The following is a 14,571-nucleotide window of genomic DNA, read 5'->3' on the forward strand; positions in this document are numbered from 1 at the left end:
TGCCTCTTGCAATGCACTTTCATGCCCAGGAGTTTCTGAACCTCACCATAAGACAAAAGAATAAATGGTGTTATTTTTCCATTTGCAGATGAGAAAACTGAGCCTCTGCAAGGCCACCCAAAGCCATGCCAGGATCGAATCTACACGTTCACGTGTTCATTAAGCAGCACACCTTTCCTGAAGTCCCTGGGCCTGTTGGAGCCCCAAGCTCTCCAAGGCCCAGGAGGCAGAAGTTCTAACAACAGGGAGCTCCAAGGACATCAGACCTACCTGGAGACCGTCTGGGGTTCCTCTTTTCCAGGCCCACCTGATCGGTTGCTCAGTAAGTCCTGGGGATGGAATGATTGGACCTTCCCTACTCCTTCAACCCAGCTCCGCCTGTCCTGTGTGCTGCTCTGTCCAGCCCCAGAGGCCCCTCAACTGGTCCCTGTCCTGAGTCTGGACATCACCTGTGCAAACTCAGAGAACATAGGGCCCAGAGGCCCAGCACCTGGCCCTGCCTTGTGAGTCCCATCACAAGCGCTGGCTCATTTCAATGACCTGGGCTAGAACTGCAGCTCACTGGTTCCTCCAATCACCCCAGAGCCCAGTGAAGCAACTTCAACAGGCCGAGGAGAAGGCCAATGGCTCAATGCTTTTCTGCAGAGGCCTCCAGGGCTGGGGAGGGCTTCCCGAAAACAGCCGGCTGGCTCCTTTCCCTCTGGCTCCTCCCCTGTCCTCCTGGGGGCTGTCTGCAGCAGCATGAAGACAGCTCGCTCAGGGAAGGCCCGAGCCAAATGGATTTCAAATCAGGGACCTCTCCCTCAGGGCCATGTGCATGGGACAGAAACCGAACCAGTGCTGTGAACGCCGACCTGTCCGTCCAGCTGACAAGATTCCCTACCTCCCAGAGCTCATGCTTTCCACGATGGACAACTGTTTTCTGATGTGCACACCTGCATCCTTTTGCCCAGGCATGCCCCAAGAACAGTGAGCATTGATTAAGCACTCAATGCTTAATCAAGTGCAGGCACCTTATGAGTTGATGTCATCATATCCCCATTTTACAGGTGAGGAAAGCAGAGCTCTGGGAAGTGACAGAGCTTAAGTGAGGCCACAGAGAAGTGGTGGGGCTGAGTTTCAAGCCCACTGCATGTGACTCTTAACCACTCTACTACATGGTTTCCTCACAGTAAGACGCAATGAACACCTGAGCCAGGTGTTGGGAGTTTGTAAAACCCCTCAAAGTCCCATGTAGGGTCCTGGTCACAGCCCCTAAGGTTCAGCAACGGCTCTGCTGATCTCTCTCACTTATCGCCCATCTCCACAGCCTTGAAGGTCATCTTTCAACCCCATAAACTTCCAAGTCTCTTTGGTCCAGGGCTTCCCACTCCTGATCTCCAGCAGGAAGATTTCCGTTAAGTCTTCACACAGTTCCCAAAGATCTCCACCAGCCTGGGCACCTACGGAAGTTGGGGCCCCATTACTCTTTCCCCAGGGCTCTCTTCCCTTTGCAGTCAGAGCTCTCAGCATCACGTGCACTCATGCTTTTGTGGGCTAATTTGTCTACTTTCTCTCTCCCTTGGCAGGCTGCATTTTCCACAGACTGCCACAGCAATATCTCCCACCCCACCTGCCCTTCTGCAGGGAGACCTTGACTCCCTCATCATAACGAGGGACCGAATTCTCCTCCACAGTCCCCCTCGGGGCTGGCCAGACTCAGTGGCTCCTTGACCAACAGGATGCAACAGAAGTGCTATTCTAGACTTCTGAGGCTAGGTCAGAAGGAGGCTTGCAGCTTCCCCCTGCATCTCCTGGGACACTCCCCCTTCAAGCCCAGCAGCCATAATATATGAAGCCCAAGCCACATGGAGAGAGAGCACATAGGGGCTCCAGTCAACAGCTCCCAGCTTCCAGCACCGACTTCAGCCATGGGAGCACACCATCTTGGACATCCCACCCCAAGAAGCCTTTGGATGACAGCAGCTCCAAACACCATGCGGCTGCAACTGTACAAGAAACACCCAGTGAGACTGCCAGCTGAACCCAGTTAGCTCATAGTACTGTGAGAAGTAGTAATAAATTATTGCTTCAGGCCATTACATTTTGGGATGGTTTGTTACGTAGCAATGGATAGCCGACCTTCTCGCCCCACACCGGACTATAAGCTCCATGAGGGCAGGAGCTGTGTCTAATTTAGCTCAGTGCCACCTCCCCCAACCCTGGCATACAGAGGGACATATAGTAGGGGCTCAATAAATGTTGAATGAATGGATGAGTGAATTAATTGATTGGTTTCAAAAAAGCAGGCCTCTGAATCCCCACACAGGTAGAGGCAGAAGGAGGGGAAGGGGCCACAGTGCAGTTTATTGTCTGACGATAAGTATTAGATTGAATCATATAAAGGTGCCATTTTTTAGGTCAAAAAAGTTGAATATTGGCAATCTCAAATGGCTCAGCCTCACATATGACGAGGTTGCCCTGTCCTGCCAGCTTCTTCCTGCAGCCAGGAGGAAGAGGGTACACCCACACCAGGAAACCCCACTACACCACACCCACCCAAACCCAGCTTCCCTGAACCCAAGATATGGACTTGGGGGACATTCTATGAGCAAAGAGAGGCAATAACAAAACCTTTCACCTCAATCATGTTTCGCTGGAAAGCACTGAATTTTCAGGCCAGTCACAATGGCTTACGCCTGTAATCCTAGCACTTTAGGAGGATGAGACAGGAGAACCTATGGAGTTTGAGACCAGCCCAGGCAACACAGTGAGACCCCATCTTTACAAAAATTTTAAAAATCAGCCAGGCATGGTGGTGCACGCCTGTGGTCCTAGCTACTTGAGAGGCTGAAGCAGGAGGATCGTTTCAGCCCAGGAGTTGGAGGCTGCAGTGAGCCGTGTTCGCACCACTGCACTCCAGCCTGGATAACAGAGCAAGAGTCTCAAAAAATAAAGTAAAAGTAGTGAATTTTCCCACCTCACTGAGCTACTGCCCTTAAGAAAGGGCTTGCATTCAAGATGATGACGTTGAGAGCAGACAGCGGACCCTGCAGAAACGCTGTGCAGCAAGACAGATGGCCCCATGCCCTCTAGAGGGAAGGAGCAGCAGAGGCCTTGCCAGGGACAGAGGGCCTTGCCAGGGACAGAGGGAGGTGGCACAGCCTCCCCTACACCCTGAGGGGAGCTGAGTATGGTGTGAGCATCTCCTGGTACCATTTTACACTCACACTGCCCCATTTCGATGAGGACAGAAACTCTATGTGGTAGGTACAATGGATATCCCCATTCTGCAGGTAGGTGCAATGGACTCACCCACTTTGTCAATGAGGAAAAAAAAAAAACAAGGCTCAGGAGCCCATTCAAAGCACGTGCCAGGAAGGGCAGAGAGGAATTTGTATCCAGGTCTTCTGACTCTAGATCCTGACTCTTTTTTTTTTTTCCAAGACAGAGTTTCACTCTGTCACCCAGGCTGGAGTGCAATGGTGCAATCTCAGCTCACGGCAACCTCTGTCTTCCAGGTTCAAGTGATTCTCCTGCCTCAGCCTCCTGAGTAGCTGGGATTACAGGCAAGCACCATCATGCCTGGCTAATTTTCATATTTTTAGCAGAGACAGGGTTTTGCCATGTTGGCCAGGCTGGTCTCAAACTTCTGATCCACCCGCCTCGGCCTCCCGAAGTGCTGGGAATACAGGTGTGAGCCACCGCACCCAGCTGATCCTGACTCTTAACCACTATACGGAAAGGCAGAAAGGGAATGCCTGCAAAATCACGGGGCAGGGGACAGCTGGCTGGGTCCACTGCCAGGAAAAGGGGAACGGGGAGAGGCCCCAGGGGACCAGACTGCCCACAGGCTGCCAGGTCTGAGAACAGCACATTTCCTACCTTCCCAGCAGGGCTTCGCAAGGTCATGAGCCAGGGCCACCAGGGCCTCACCCTCCCAAGGGCCAGCTAGAAAAGGGTCAGCCAATGTCGGCCCCTGGCCAGCACACGAATCAGAAGGAAACTCACCCAGAAGGATGCCTCTTCCTTGCTCTCGTGTCCCGGGAGTCAGCTAGTCAGCAGAGAGCCCTGGGCACACTGAAAACCTCCCAGCCACCATCAGAGGTCCCACCTCTGGGGCCACATGGCTGAGTATCCACAAGATGGAGGCAGGGGGCCAGGAGCTGCCTCCATGCACCCGAGACAGAGAGACCTAGGACAGAGCTTGAGAGACATGCGACAAACCAGGGTCAACAATCACACGCACTCACCCATTCTTTCCTTCATTCTTTCCACAAATACTTATTAAGTGCCTACGGTGTGCCAGGCATAACACATGCACATTTGCTGCAACATACGGGGTGCTCCCCAACCCCATTCATCTTGGCGGCCTCAAAGCCCACACAAAGGCTGGCACAGAAAAGATGCTTAATAAATATGGGGTGGGCAAATGAGTGATTAGATGAATAAATGAATGCCCAAGAGGATACGCTAAGTAGTAAGGGGCCGGCATCCAGGGCTGGGGCTGGTCGGGGACCCAGATTCCGGTCTTAGCTCCAGTACACCTCAGCCCCCAACCATGAGTGACCTTGACCAAGGCAAGTCCCCTACCTGAGCCTCTGATTCCTCATAGGCCCAAAAGAAGCCTGAATCTCATGAACGCCATCCTCTCCAACCTCACAGTGGGGAGGCGGGGCTCACCTGAATGCATGGCCACTATGAGACAGGCACACAGCTCAGCTCCACATCAGGGGATATAGGAGCCTTGTGGGGTTTCGAGGGGATAGGGGAGGCCAGAGCAGGGATGGACGGGAGGAGAAAGGGTGCAGGGGAGAAGGGAGACCAGTGGAGCGGAGAAAGTGAGAGAGCCAGGAACACTGCCAGGTGAGAGTGAGAGGGCAGCGGGGTCAGCAGGACCAGCAAGGCCAGCAAGCCCTGGAAAGGCTTCCCCACCTCTCACTTCTTCTCCCAATCAGATTTGGATGGGAGACCATACCACCCACCCCTGCAGAAAGCAGAACCACCAGGCGCCACATTCTAGGCATATCCAGGGGTTACCAGAGAACCCAACTGTACAGGAGCCATCGGGACACTGGGGTAGAGGAGTGCAGTGGAGCTGATGGAACCAAGTTGTTGAAATAAAGACAGTCATTAAGTAATGACACATACAAGCAGCAGATGGCTGGATGCATGTTCCAGGGACTGTCGGGGATGACAGAGAAAAAACAGAAAAGAATCACAGGCTCTGAAGCCAGCCTGTCTGGGTTCAAATCCACACTCCACCATTTAGCAGCTGGGGGACCATGAACAAGTCACTTGCCCTCTCTGGGACTCATTTAATTAAGTCACATAATTTTAATAAGGTGATATATACAAAGCCAGATGCTTGGCTCATAGTACAGCTTGAGACAATGGTAGCTGGTAAGCACTGTCTTGCTGCTGGGTTATGATTCAAACCAACATGTGCAGCATCGCAGTGCAGACAAAAGCTGGAGGCGTCAAACCCGGAGGGGTCTGGCAGGAGGCCTCACATGCTCCTGAGGATGCAGGAGGACAAGGAATGTCATGGCACAGGCCCTCTTGCAAGGCACGAAAATGTCCATGCATACCAAAAGAAAAAAAATCCACTCCATCAGGAGAGGAAAGTCCTGGGTCCAAGTGTGAATCCTCCCCTTCCCAGACTGTGCGATCCTGAGTAAGGTGCGAGCCACCTCCTCCGTGAAGGGGTGTGATCAGCTTACAACCCACAAGCCCACTGTTCTTGTGCCCGCCCTCTGTAGGTGGCTGAGGGAAAAACGGTCCAGGAAGATACCTACCATTTCCAAAGTCTTTACCCTGGAGCAACACGTTTGTTTTTTTGTTTTTGTTTGGTTTTTTTTTTTTTTTTTTTGGAGACAGGATCTTGGTCTGTCACCGAGGGTGGAGTGCAGTGATGCGATCTCAGCTCACTGCAGCCTTGAACTCCTGGGCTCAAGCAATCCTCCCACATCAGCTTCCCGAGCAGTCAGGATTACAGATGCACCATCAGACCCAGGTAATTTTTTTTCCCCCAAGACAGAGTCTTGCTGTGTCACCCAGGCTGGAGTGTAGTGGCACAATCTCGGCTCACTGCAACCTCTGCCTCCCGGGTTCAAGTGATTCTCTTGCCTCAGCCTCCCGAGTAGCTGGGATTACAGGCGCCTGCCAACGCACTCGGCTAGACCCAGGTAATTTTTAAAATTTTTGTAGAGATGGGGTTTTGTTATGTTGCCTAGGCTGGTCTCAAACTCCCAGCCTCAAGTAATCCCACCTCAGCCTCCCAAAGTGCTGGGATTACAGAAGTGAGCCACTGTACCCCGCCGACATTTCTTTTTCATTAAAAAAAATATCCTCCACCCTAACAGCCTGCACGTTTCCTAAAAACATGTTCCCGAGGGCAAGATGCCTTTTCTGAATCTGAGCACCAGGTCAAAGCCCTGGCTTAGCCTCTATTCAGTGTTCGTTTGGGTCCTGCTCACAGAGAAGAACCCTCTCCTCCATGAACACTCTCTCAAGCAGGCCCCGGGAGGGGTGTGGCCAGGGCTGGGCAAAGAGCCCACCAACCCCAATTCCGCACTCGGCTTGTGCATCCATTGCTGGCCCCAAATTCCAAAAGGCAGCCATTATTTATCTTCAGGTTTAAAATATTTGCAGTGCAGGCAGCGGGGTAACATTTAACACTCAGCCTAAAGGGTCCCCTTGGCAGCAGAGCTCTAGGCAAATATTTTAACACATAATTTGCTGTCCAAGTTCGGCTTCTTAAATAAGGAAGCAACTTCCTGATGGCTGTCTGGGGAGACCCCGGTGTCCCTATCGGTGCCTGTGGCTCTGTGGATGGAATTTCAAGCCAAGGTCCGTCAGAGACATTGAACCTGACCTCGGCTACATCACACAAGCCTTGCTGGGCTGCTCCGTCTGGCCATGAGGGACTGATACAGGACAACCCTCTGCAGAGGCCCACAGAAATGACTAGAAACTTCCAGAGAACGTATCTTCAGTTGTCAGCAAGTCTAGAACCTAAAGGACTAGCAGTGTGATGGCAATCGCCTCCTTCAGGCCAGAACTTCCAATTCCTTTGTATCTTTCGCCTCGTGACCCCCAGCCCCTGTCAGGGAGACGTTACCACCAGACCTATTTTACAGACGGCAAAACTGAGGCTCCGATGGCTGAGACAGCCCCCTCAGTCACTCGGATAACGAGTGGAGAGAAGCTCTCAACTCCAATTCCCCCACCACCACACAAATTACAGAAATGAGTGTACAAGCGAATGGGGTGTGGAGTGAGCACACAGAAGCCCACCCAGGGAGGGGTCTCAACTCCTCTAGATGGTCAGCACTGCAAACACACCTGCTGCTTTTTTTTTTTTAAAGAAGAAAATCCATGGCTCACAGCTGTAATCCCAGCACTTTGGGGGGCCAAGGCGGGTGGATCATTTGAGGTCATGAGTTGGAGACCAGCATGGCCAACATGGTGAAACCCTGTCTCTACTAAAAATGCCCCAAAAAAATAAAAAATTAGCCGGGCATGGTGGCGCATGCCTATAATCCCAGCTACTCGGGGGGCTGAGGCAGGAGAATCACTTGAACCTGGGAGGCAGAGATTGCAGTAAGCCAAGATTGCACCACTGCACTCCAGCCTGGGCAACAGAGTAAGACTCTGTCTCAAAAAAAAAAGAAGAAGAAGGAGGAGGAAATCCACCGTTCTCTATAAAATTTCTGGATGATTTCTAAATGTTGACTTCAAGTTTTAAGAAACACAGTATGGGCTAAACAATATGCCTTGGAGGGCTGGTCCAGCCTGGGGGCTACCCACTGAGGGTCTCTGCCATGGAGTGTGTCCAGCAAGAGCCCCTCAGAGCCCCTAGAGCACAGGGTCATCTGCTCATTCCTCACCAGAAAGAGCAGTCAGCTGAGCAGTCAGCTAAGCAGTGATGAAAGTGTCTCTTCTTTAGAGATTCAGGAACTGAGTTCAAGTCCATTTTTGTGCAAGACCTTGGTTGCTTGTACTTCTGAGCCTCAGTTTCCTCACCTAGAAAATGAGGATGGTACTCATGCTGTGGATGCTCCCTATGGGACCACTTTCCAGGTGACCTCACTCCAGGTCTCTGCCCACCAGGCGCTGGTCAGCAGTGAGCTCCCTAAACGTTGGAACCATGTCAGACACAAATCCTCCACATCTTCAATCAGTCAACAAACATTTACTGAGCACCTACTATGTGCCAGCCCCTGTTCTAGATGCAAACACATGAAAGAACCATACACAGCTCCATGACCAGGACAGGCTGACATTTGGTCACAAGGACCTTGTTTTTTATGGGTGTTCCATACATGCACGAATGAATGACTCTACCCTCCCTGCAGGGCTCAGCTGCCACAAAATCCCCGGAAGGTAAAGAGAGATGGCAGCTTCCCCAACCTCACAGACACTTGCACTCAGCTCTCAACTACAGTGGGTCAGGAATGAGTGGAAAGAAAAGAAGGCAGATGAGAGGGAGGGAAGAGGGGAGGAGGGAAGCAGGGGGGAGAAAAATAAACCTCAAACACCCCCTGCAAGAAAAAATCAAATTTATTTTTCCAGCAAGTAGTTAATGGTGTCACTCCTCCAAGCCTTACAATCTTAATAAAACTGATCTCGCCGCGTGCAGTAATGAAGAACAGTCAGACAAAGCCACCCTGGAACCATGAAAATTGTGCACTGTTACCTCCTCGTGACCTCCTGAGGCAGTGACCATTCTGCCCTCGCCTTGCTGTCATGTTTTGTCTCTGGGAAGGGGGAGATGGGGGAGCAGGGCCGGCGGTGGGCAGGGGAGGGAGGATGGTCAGGCAGCGTGGGGAGCTCGATAAATCCAGCTAATTTGTGGCCAGTGCTAGTGCCTGACACTCCTAATTGCTCTCAGTCCTGGAGCAGAACTCAAGGCTAGGATGCTGGGGCGCAAATCACCCCCCTTGTGGCTGCAAAAAAAGGATCCCGGTTAGGGGAAGAAAAGCAGGGAGAGGAGGGATCTGTACCCCTAAAACCAGAACCAGTGGCCAGGCTAATGGAGTTTGGCTCAGAGCCAAGGATAAACAGAGGCGGTGTGAATGGAGAGCCCAGAGCCCAGGGGCCAGGCATCATCGCTGTGCATTCCGGGCAAGGTGTGCCCTCTCTGGGCCTCAGCTGCCCCATCTGTAAATTAAGGCATGGACCACAGAGAAGCAATTTTAAAAACCATGCACCTTAGCAGCTCAACACTGTGCCAGGGGCAGGCCTGAGGACAGAACTCTAAGACAACACCTCCACACCCAGGGAGCCCCGCTGCCGCCCGCCTTCCACGCCAGGGTCCCGCAGCAGCACTTTGCAGAAAGAGCCTCACTGTCAAAATAGAAAGTGTGTAAAAGTTCACCTGCCCAACTCCTCCTCACCGTTCAGGTCTCAGCTCAGTGAATCTGCACCCCCACAGGGTCAGGCCTCCCCTGTGAGCTCTGGGAGCTCGCTGGGCACCTCTCCTTCTCCACTTATCATAGCAGTCCTCATGATTTTATTTGCTGGATGTGCGAAGGTCTCCTGGGCATGCAAGCTCCAGGCAGGCAAGTCCGCATCAGTTTTGTTCACTCTGCTTCCCCCTTCTCCACCTCTCAGCACCCAGCATAGGGCCTGGTACACAGCAGGTGATTAATAAGGATGTGTTGAAGAAGCTGTCTGGAAGGGCCCTTCCCACTCTGACATTTAAAGATCCAGCCACAGGTCTGTATTTCCAGGGAGGGATGGGACAACAGGAATGAAGCCCGAAGCAGGCCCCTGGTCCTGCCTGCTGCCCCGGGACACAGGGGGCTCAAGGGACTCCCCAGACCCGGCTCTAGGGCCTCTATTATAACCCAAAAGCCAGCAGCTCCCTTCCCACCAATGATCCTCCTACCAACGAGCCTCCAGGTGGGCCTGGAGGGCCAGGGGAGCCCCCTCTCCCTCCAGTCGCAGTGCAGAGGCTCCACAAAAAGCCTTTAAAAATTAACCAGTTGCCAGGCATGGAGACAGCCTGGTGCGCAGCCACGTTCCAGGGAATACGGAAGTGGCGCCTGGAGAAAAGGGAGCAGGACTCGTGGAGTGGCTTTCCCGTGCTATCCCACCCCAGGAGGAGTACACTCAGATTCCAAGGAGCCGCTCCCAGTAAACCCCCATCTAGGCACCCACTCACTGGAGGAGGGTGGCAGCCTCAGCCCACCTCCAAGGATCCATGCAAGCAGCTGGCTCCTCCAGGAGACCCCAGGGGTCTCCCCACCGCTTACCCTCATCCACTTGCTCAGGTCTGCCGGCTTTCTGCCGACTTCCCGTCAGTCCCCAAGAGGGTGTTTGGAGCCCCACAAGTGGGCTGTAAGACATTCTCTGATGTCTCCAGAAACCTGGATTCTGGAAGCAAGGCACAGAACAAAGCCAATGGCCTGGGCAGCATGACACGTCTGCCACAGAGGTCCGAGAAGCCTCAGCACACACACAGCCAGGCAGGGTGTCCCCATGCTCAGCACACATGTGGCCAGGCAGGCTGTCCCCAGGCCGAGCACACACATGGCCAGGCGGGGTGTCCCCAGGCTGAGCACACACGTGGCCAGGTGGAGTGTCCCCAGGCCGAGCACACACATGGCCAGGTGGGGTGTCCCCAGGCCCAGCACACACGAGGCCAGGCGGGGTGTCCCCACGCTCAGCACACATGTGGCCAGCCAGGGTGTCCCCAGCTCGGGGTTGGGGTGTACCCAGCTCGGGGTCAGGGTTTTGATGGGGACTGCACTCAGACCCCCCAGCCAGTGACAGCAAGGCCTGTTTGGCAGCCTAGGACCCCTGGATTCACATTCCTAGGCAAAGAGATGCAGAGACATGGGGGGATTAGCCACAGGCCAAAGGTCAAGTGAACCGCACCAAGGAAACTTCCAGACCCACCCCAGGGACCTGGCTGCCTCTGCCTGATGGCCAATATCAGTGTGATCTACATGCACACGCACACCCCACACCCCACTCACCACCCCCAGGCTCCTCCTCAAACCATCACTTAACTCGGATTTCAAACTGCTGGCGATGTTCTTTAGTCAACATGAAGCAGAAACCTTTTATTAAATGCTGCTAATTTTTTATTGATCACACTGTGAATCATTTCATTTTCCATTACCGCAAATGTCTCCTATCAGAGCTCCACGATCAGGCTTCTTTCTTCATTCTTGAGTAACTTGTCACTTTTAATCAGTTTTCAGTTTCGGTCTGGCTCAAAAATTAGAAAGCGGGCTCTTTGTATCATTATTGCTTTTGTTTAAAAAAAAAAGTTTCCATGCAGGAAAGGTTATTATACTCAGAATAAATATACATGAATCAAATTCAGATGAAATTCCTCCCTGGCTCTAACCAATTTTACCATTAGCTTTTATAATTTTTTTAGGTTTATTTTCACAGAAAGACTGCTCATAATTATTGCTCGTGCTCTCCCAAAACACTTATGTTACTAAAGTGCGAAATGTCTTCTAACACAAAGACAGATCTCTGGGAAGTAATTACAGAAATGCATTCAGGGGCAATAATTCTATATTAGCTGTCAGCAGCAGACATCCTCTGAAAGGCACTTGTTATGAAGGAATTATTTGTGCTACTATTGAAGGCATGGCAGGCAAGCCCAAACTTAAAGACTGCATCTGATCAGAAACATGGGCTCCCTCATCAAGGGTCAAATTAAGTTTAAATCATTACCTTGAAGCCCAGCAAACTCGTACCTGACTGTCTATTGTGAAGACATTTTTGAGGCGCACTCGAGCGCGACGTGGTCTTCCCGTTCGCAGCGTGGTGCAATTACCCTTAGTCTCAAAAGGATTCTGCCAGGAGCTTGTCACAATAGGGAGAGAGGAGGTGGCAGGGTGTCTATTAAATGCTAACTCGTGTCACCAAACAGAATTTTCAAGAATTATAAATTGCCGAGATGCCTTGCCGCTGACCCCCTCGTGTTAAGAAGAGCCCAGAATATTATCAGGAAAGTGCAAGAATTTGCATCAAAGGCAGGAAAGGACTCTCTATGGGGAGCCCACGGGGATGGAGCTGAGGGGACTGGGACCCAGTGAACTATCCCCTCACCCCACAGAAGGTCCAACTGGGATCTGCGCCCCAACACCAGCTTACTCAGGGCAGAGAAATACCCTAAAATGAGGACAGGTGCAGGGGGATCTGAGGAAGTACGTAATTTCATCTGAGCTTTGTCCCTAACTCTTGGCATGACCTCAGGCCAGTCACTTCCTCTCCCCGAGCCTCAGTTTCCCCACCTGTAACAACATCCTACATCAACTCTGTGTGGAGGGCATTCTGTGAGTGGAATGCAATGTTGGCCCCTGCTGTTCCAGGCTCTGTTTCCCCACCTATAAAAGTGCAGGATTAATTTCCTGCACCGTTAAAGGAATCACCTGGCCACTGGGTGCGGGAAGAAAATGTGGGACAAAGAGCAGAGCAGCTTCCTGTGAGAGCGGGTCTCACAGATATCTCAGATCTGCTTGGACTCATCGAGCCTCAGCTTCCCCACCTCAAAAGAGGACAAGCTAAAGGTCATAGCCTGGGGTTGCCCTTATCAATCACAGTGAAGCACAAACCCAGGCTTCTTTCATCTGCTCACCTACTGCTATTGCCAAAAAGACAGGGTACTTTCTCTTTTTTTGAGACAGAATCTTGCTCTGTCACCCTGGCTGGAGAGCAGTGGCACAATCTCGGCTCACTGCAACCTCCGCCTCCTGAGTTCAAGAGATTCTCCCGCCTCAGCATCCTGAGTTGCTGGGACTACAGGCACCCACCACCACACCTGGCTAATTTTTGCATTTTTAGTAGAAATGGGGTTAGCTGGCCAGGCAGGTCTGGAACTCCTGACCTCAGGTGAACCACCCACTTCGACCTCCCAAAGTGCTGCGGTTACAGGCGTGAACCACCACGCCCAGCCAAGACTGGGCGCTTTCTAAGACAGCTCAGGGCAAGAAGCAAAAGAACTACTTCCTCCTAACAGCTGGAGCCCATCTACCCGAAGCAGCACCTCACGGTGCCCAGCAGTGCTCAGCAGTTGTGGCACCCCTAGCCGTAGCATCCTGACCTTTCCCTGACCTCCGAGCTCGGCCCATGACCCAAGTGGGGACACTAAGACACAATCCGGAGATATGCTAGAACCACCGGGAAAGAAGGTACTTAAAGTGGGGAGAGCAGAGCGGGCAGACAGAGATCGGGGGAAAGAGTTTGAGCCATGCCCTTCGACTCAGTCACTGCCCACAGAAGCTTATATCCTAGAAAACTCCTGTTTGTGAAAGTCCGCCGTGAGAGTATCTGCTGCAGGATGATTTGTAATAGCCAAAAAAAATTAGCATCTACATCTCCATGAACAGCAGATCGATAGATAGATTGTGGTACATTTACAGAGTGGACACCATGCAGCAATTAAAATTAATGAAACAGCTACATGTATCAACACGGATTAATCTTCCAAACATAATGTTGAGAGAGGGAAAAAAAAAGCAAGTTGCTAAAGATAAACTATCTATATGGTAAAATATGGTATCTATATTGTTTTAAAACATGTATATCAGTAGTATTTAAATACCATTTATATGTATTTCCAGAAACAAGACATACAGGGAAATGAAGAATTGATATCATCTATAATTAAATATCACATATCTCCAGAAGCAAGGCATACAGGGAAGTGATGAATGCCAAGCCCTAACGGGGCAGGAAGAGTAGGGCACTCTGGCACTCAGCTGGGTGAACGATTCCTTAAGCTGAAAGGTATATCCTGGACAGTCGTTATTCTCTTCTGTTTATCTGAGATATTTCATTTAAAAAAAAAAAAAACACCATTGCTGAGCCACTGAAAATTTTTAGATCATAAAAGTTTTTAAAAGAACAGTGAATAAATTGGAGAACCACAGGGAAGCACAGAATTTTAGATGGAGAAGGCACTGAAGAAGACAGCCAATCCAATCCAGCGCTTTCTCAGAATCTGTGACGCAAGAGATTGTCCCCAGGGCACAAGGCAAGTTAGTGGCAGAACCAGGGCTATTGCCCCAGCCCTGTGCTCCTTCCCTCCCTCCGGTGTGGAGGAGCCTAGCCCTGGTTAGGGGATGAGCTTGAATAAATGGTACTGAGGTGCACAGTGGCTGTCACTTGTAGTCCCAGCTACTTGGGAGGCTGAGGCAGGAGGATCACTTTAGCCCAGGAATCCAAGGCCAGCCTGGGCAATAAGTGAGACCTTGTCTCTATAAATAAATAAACAAATAAGACCTAAGTATATTGTTCTCTCAGAGCAGGAACTTCTATCTGTTCACTGTGGAATCCGAAGCACCTAGAACAGTGCCTGGCACGTAGTAGGTGCACAATAACCCCGTGTTGAATGGATGAATGAAGGTAGACTGAGGTGATTAAAGTCATGCACATCATTCCATAAAGCAGACCTTCTTGGACAAGCCCCATTGCTGGACAACACCAAGTTAGTCATTTTTCAGTAAATGCAGATTTTCCACCTCTGAGTTTAAAAAGAAAATCACTTCTCACCAATTTTCTGACCCTCCTGTGGGTATGCTGAGATTGTGAGTCATGGCTGAGGCTGGAAAACCACCT

General features: G+C 51.3%; 1 protein-coding gene across 12 annotated transcripts in view, besides 2 other annotated features; it reads right to left on the reverse strand.

The window, feature by feature from the left end:
• ZNF423 (zinc finger protein 423) overlaps positions 1-14,571 on the reverse strand; it is a 371,756-nt gene that overhangs the window by 246,341 nt on the left and 110,844 nt on the right. The window contains exon 1 of one of the 12 annotated variants that reach the window (XM_005255856.5): positions 3,991-4,678. The exons of the other annotated variants lie outside the window; for them this stretch is intronic. The gene's annotated coding sequence lies outside the window, so the exon portion shown is untranslated. Of the gene's footprint in view, positions 1-3,990; positions 4,679-14,571 lie in introns of those variants that run through there. 12 annotated transcript variants of the gene reach the window in all.
• Positions 10,554-11,135: an enhancer, noted in NCBI's record as "H3K27ac-H3K4me1 hESC enhancer chr16:49778329-49778910 (GRCh37/hg19 assembly coordinates)". NCBI's record gives its function as "activates a minimal SCP1, AML or CMV promoter by ChIP-STARR-seq in primed H9 embryonic stem cells {active_cell/tissue: H9 hESC(primed)}" and the evidence as "EXISTENCE:reporter gene assay evidence [ECO:0000049][PMID:30033119]".
• Positions 12,425-12,925: an enhancer, noted in NCBI's record as "H3K4me1 hESC enhancer chr16:49780200-49780700 (GRCh37/hg19 assembly coordinates)". NCBI's record gives its function as "activates a minimal SCP1, AML or CMV promoter by ChIP-STARR-seq in primed H9 embryonic stem cells {active_cell/tissue: H9 hESC(primed)}" and the evidence as "EXISTENCE:reporter gene assay evidence [ECO:0000049][PMID:30033119]".

This window comes from Homo sapiens, chromosome 16 (assembly GCF_000001405.40).
Source record: "Homo sapiens chromosome 16, GRCh38.p14 Primary Assembly".
Taxonomy (NCBI): Eukaryota; Metazoa; Chordata; class Mammalia; order Primates; family Hominidae; genus Homo; species Homo sapiens.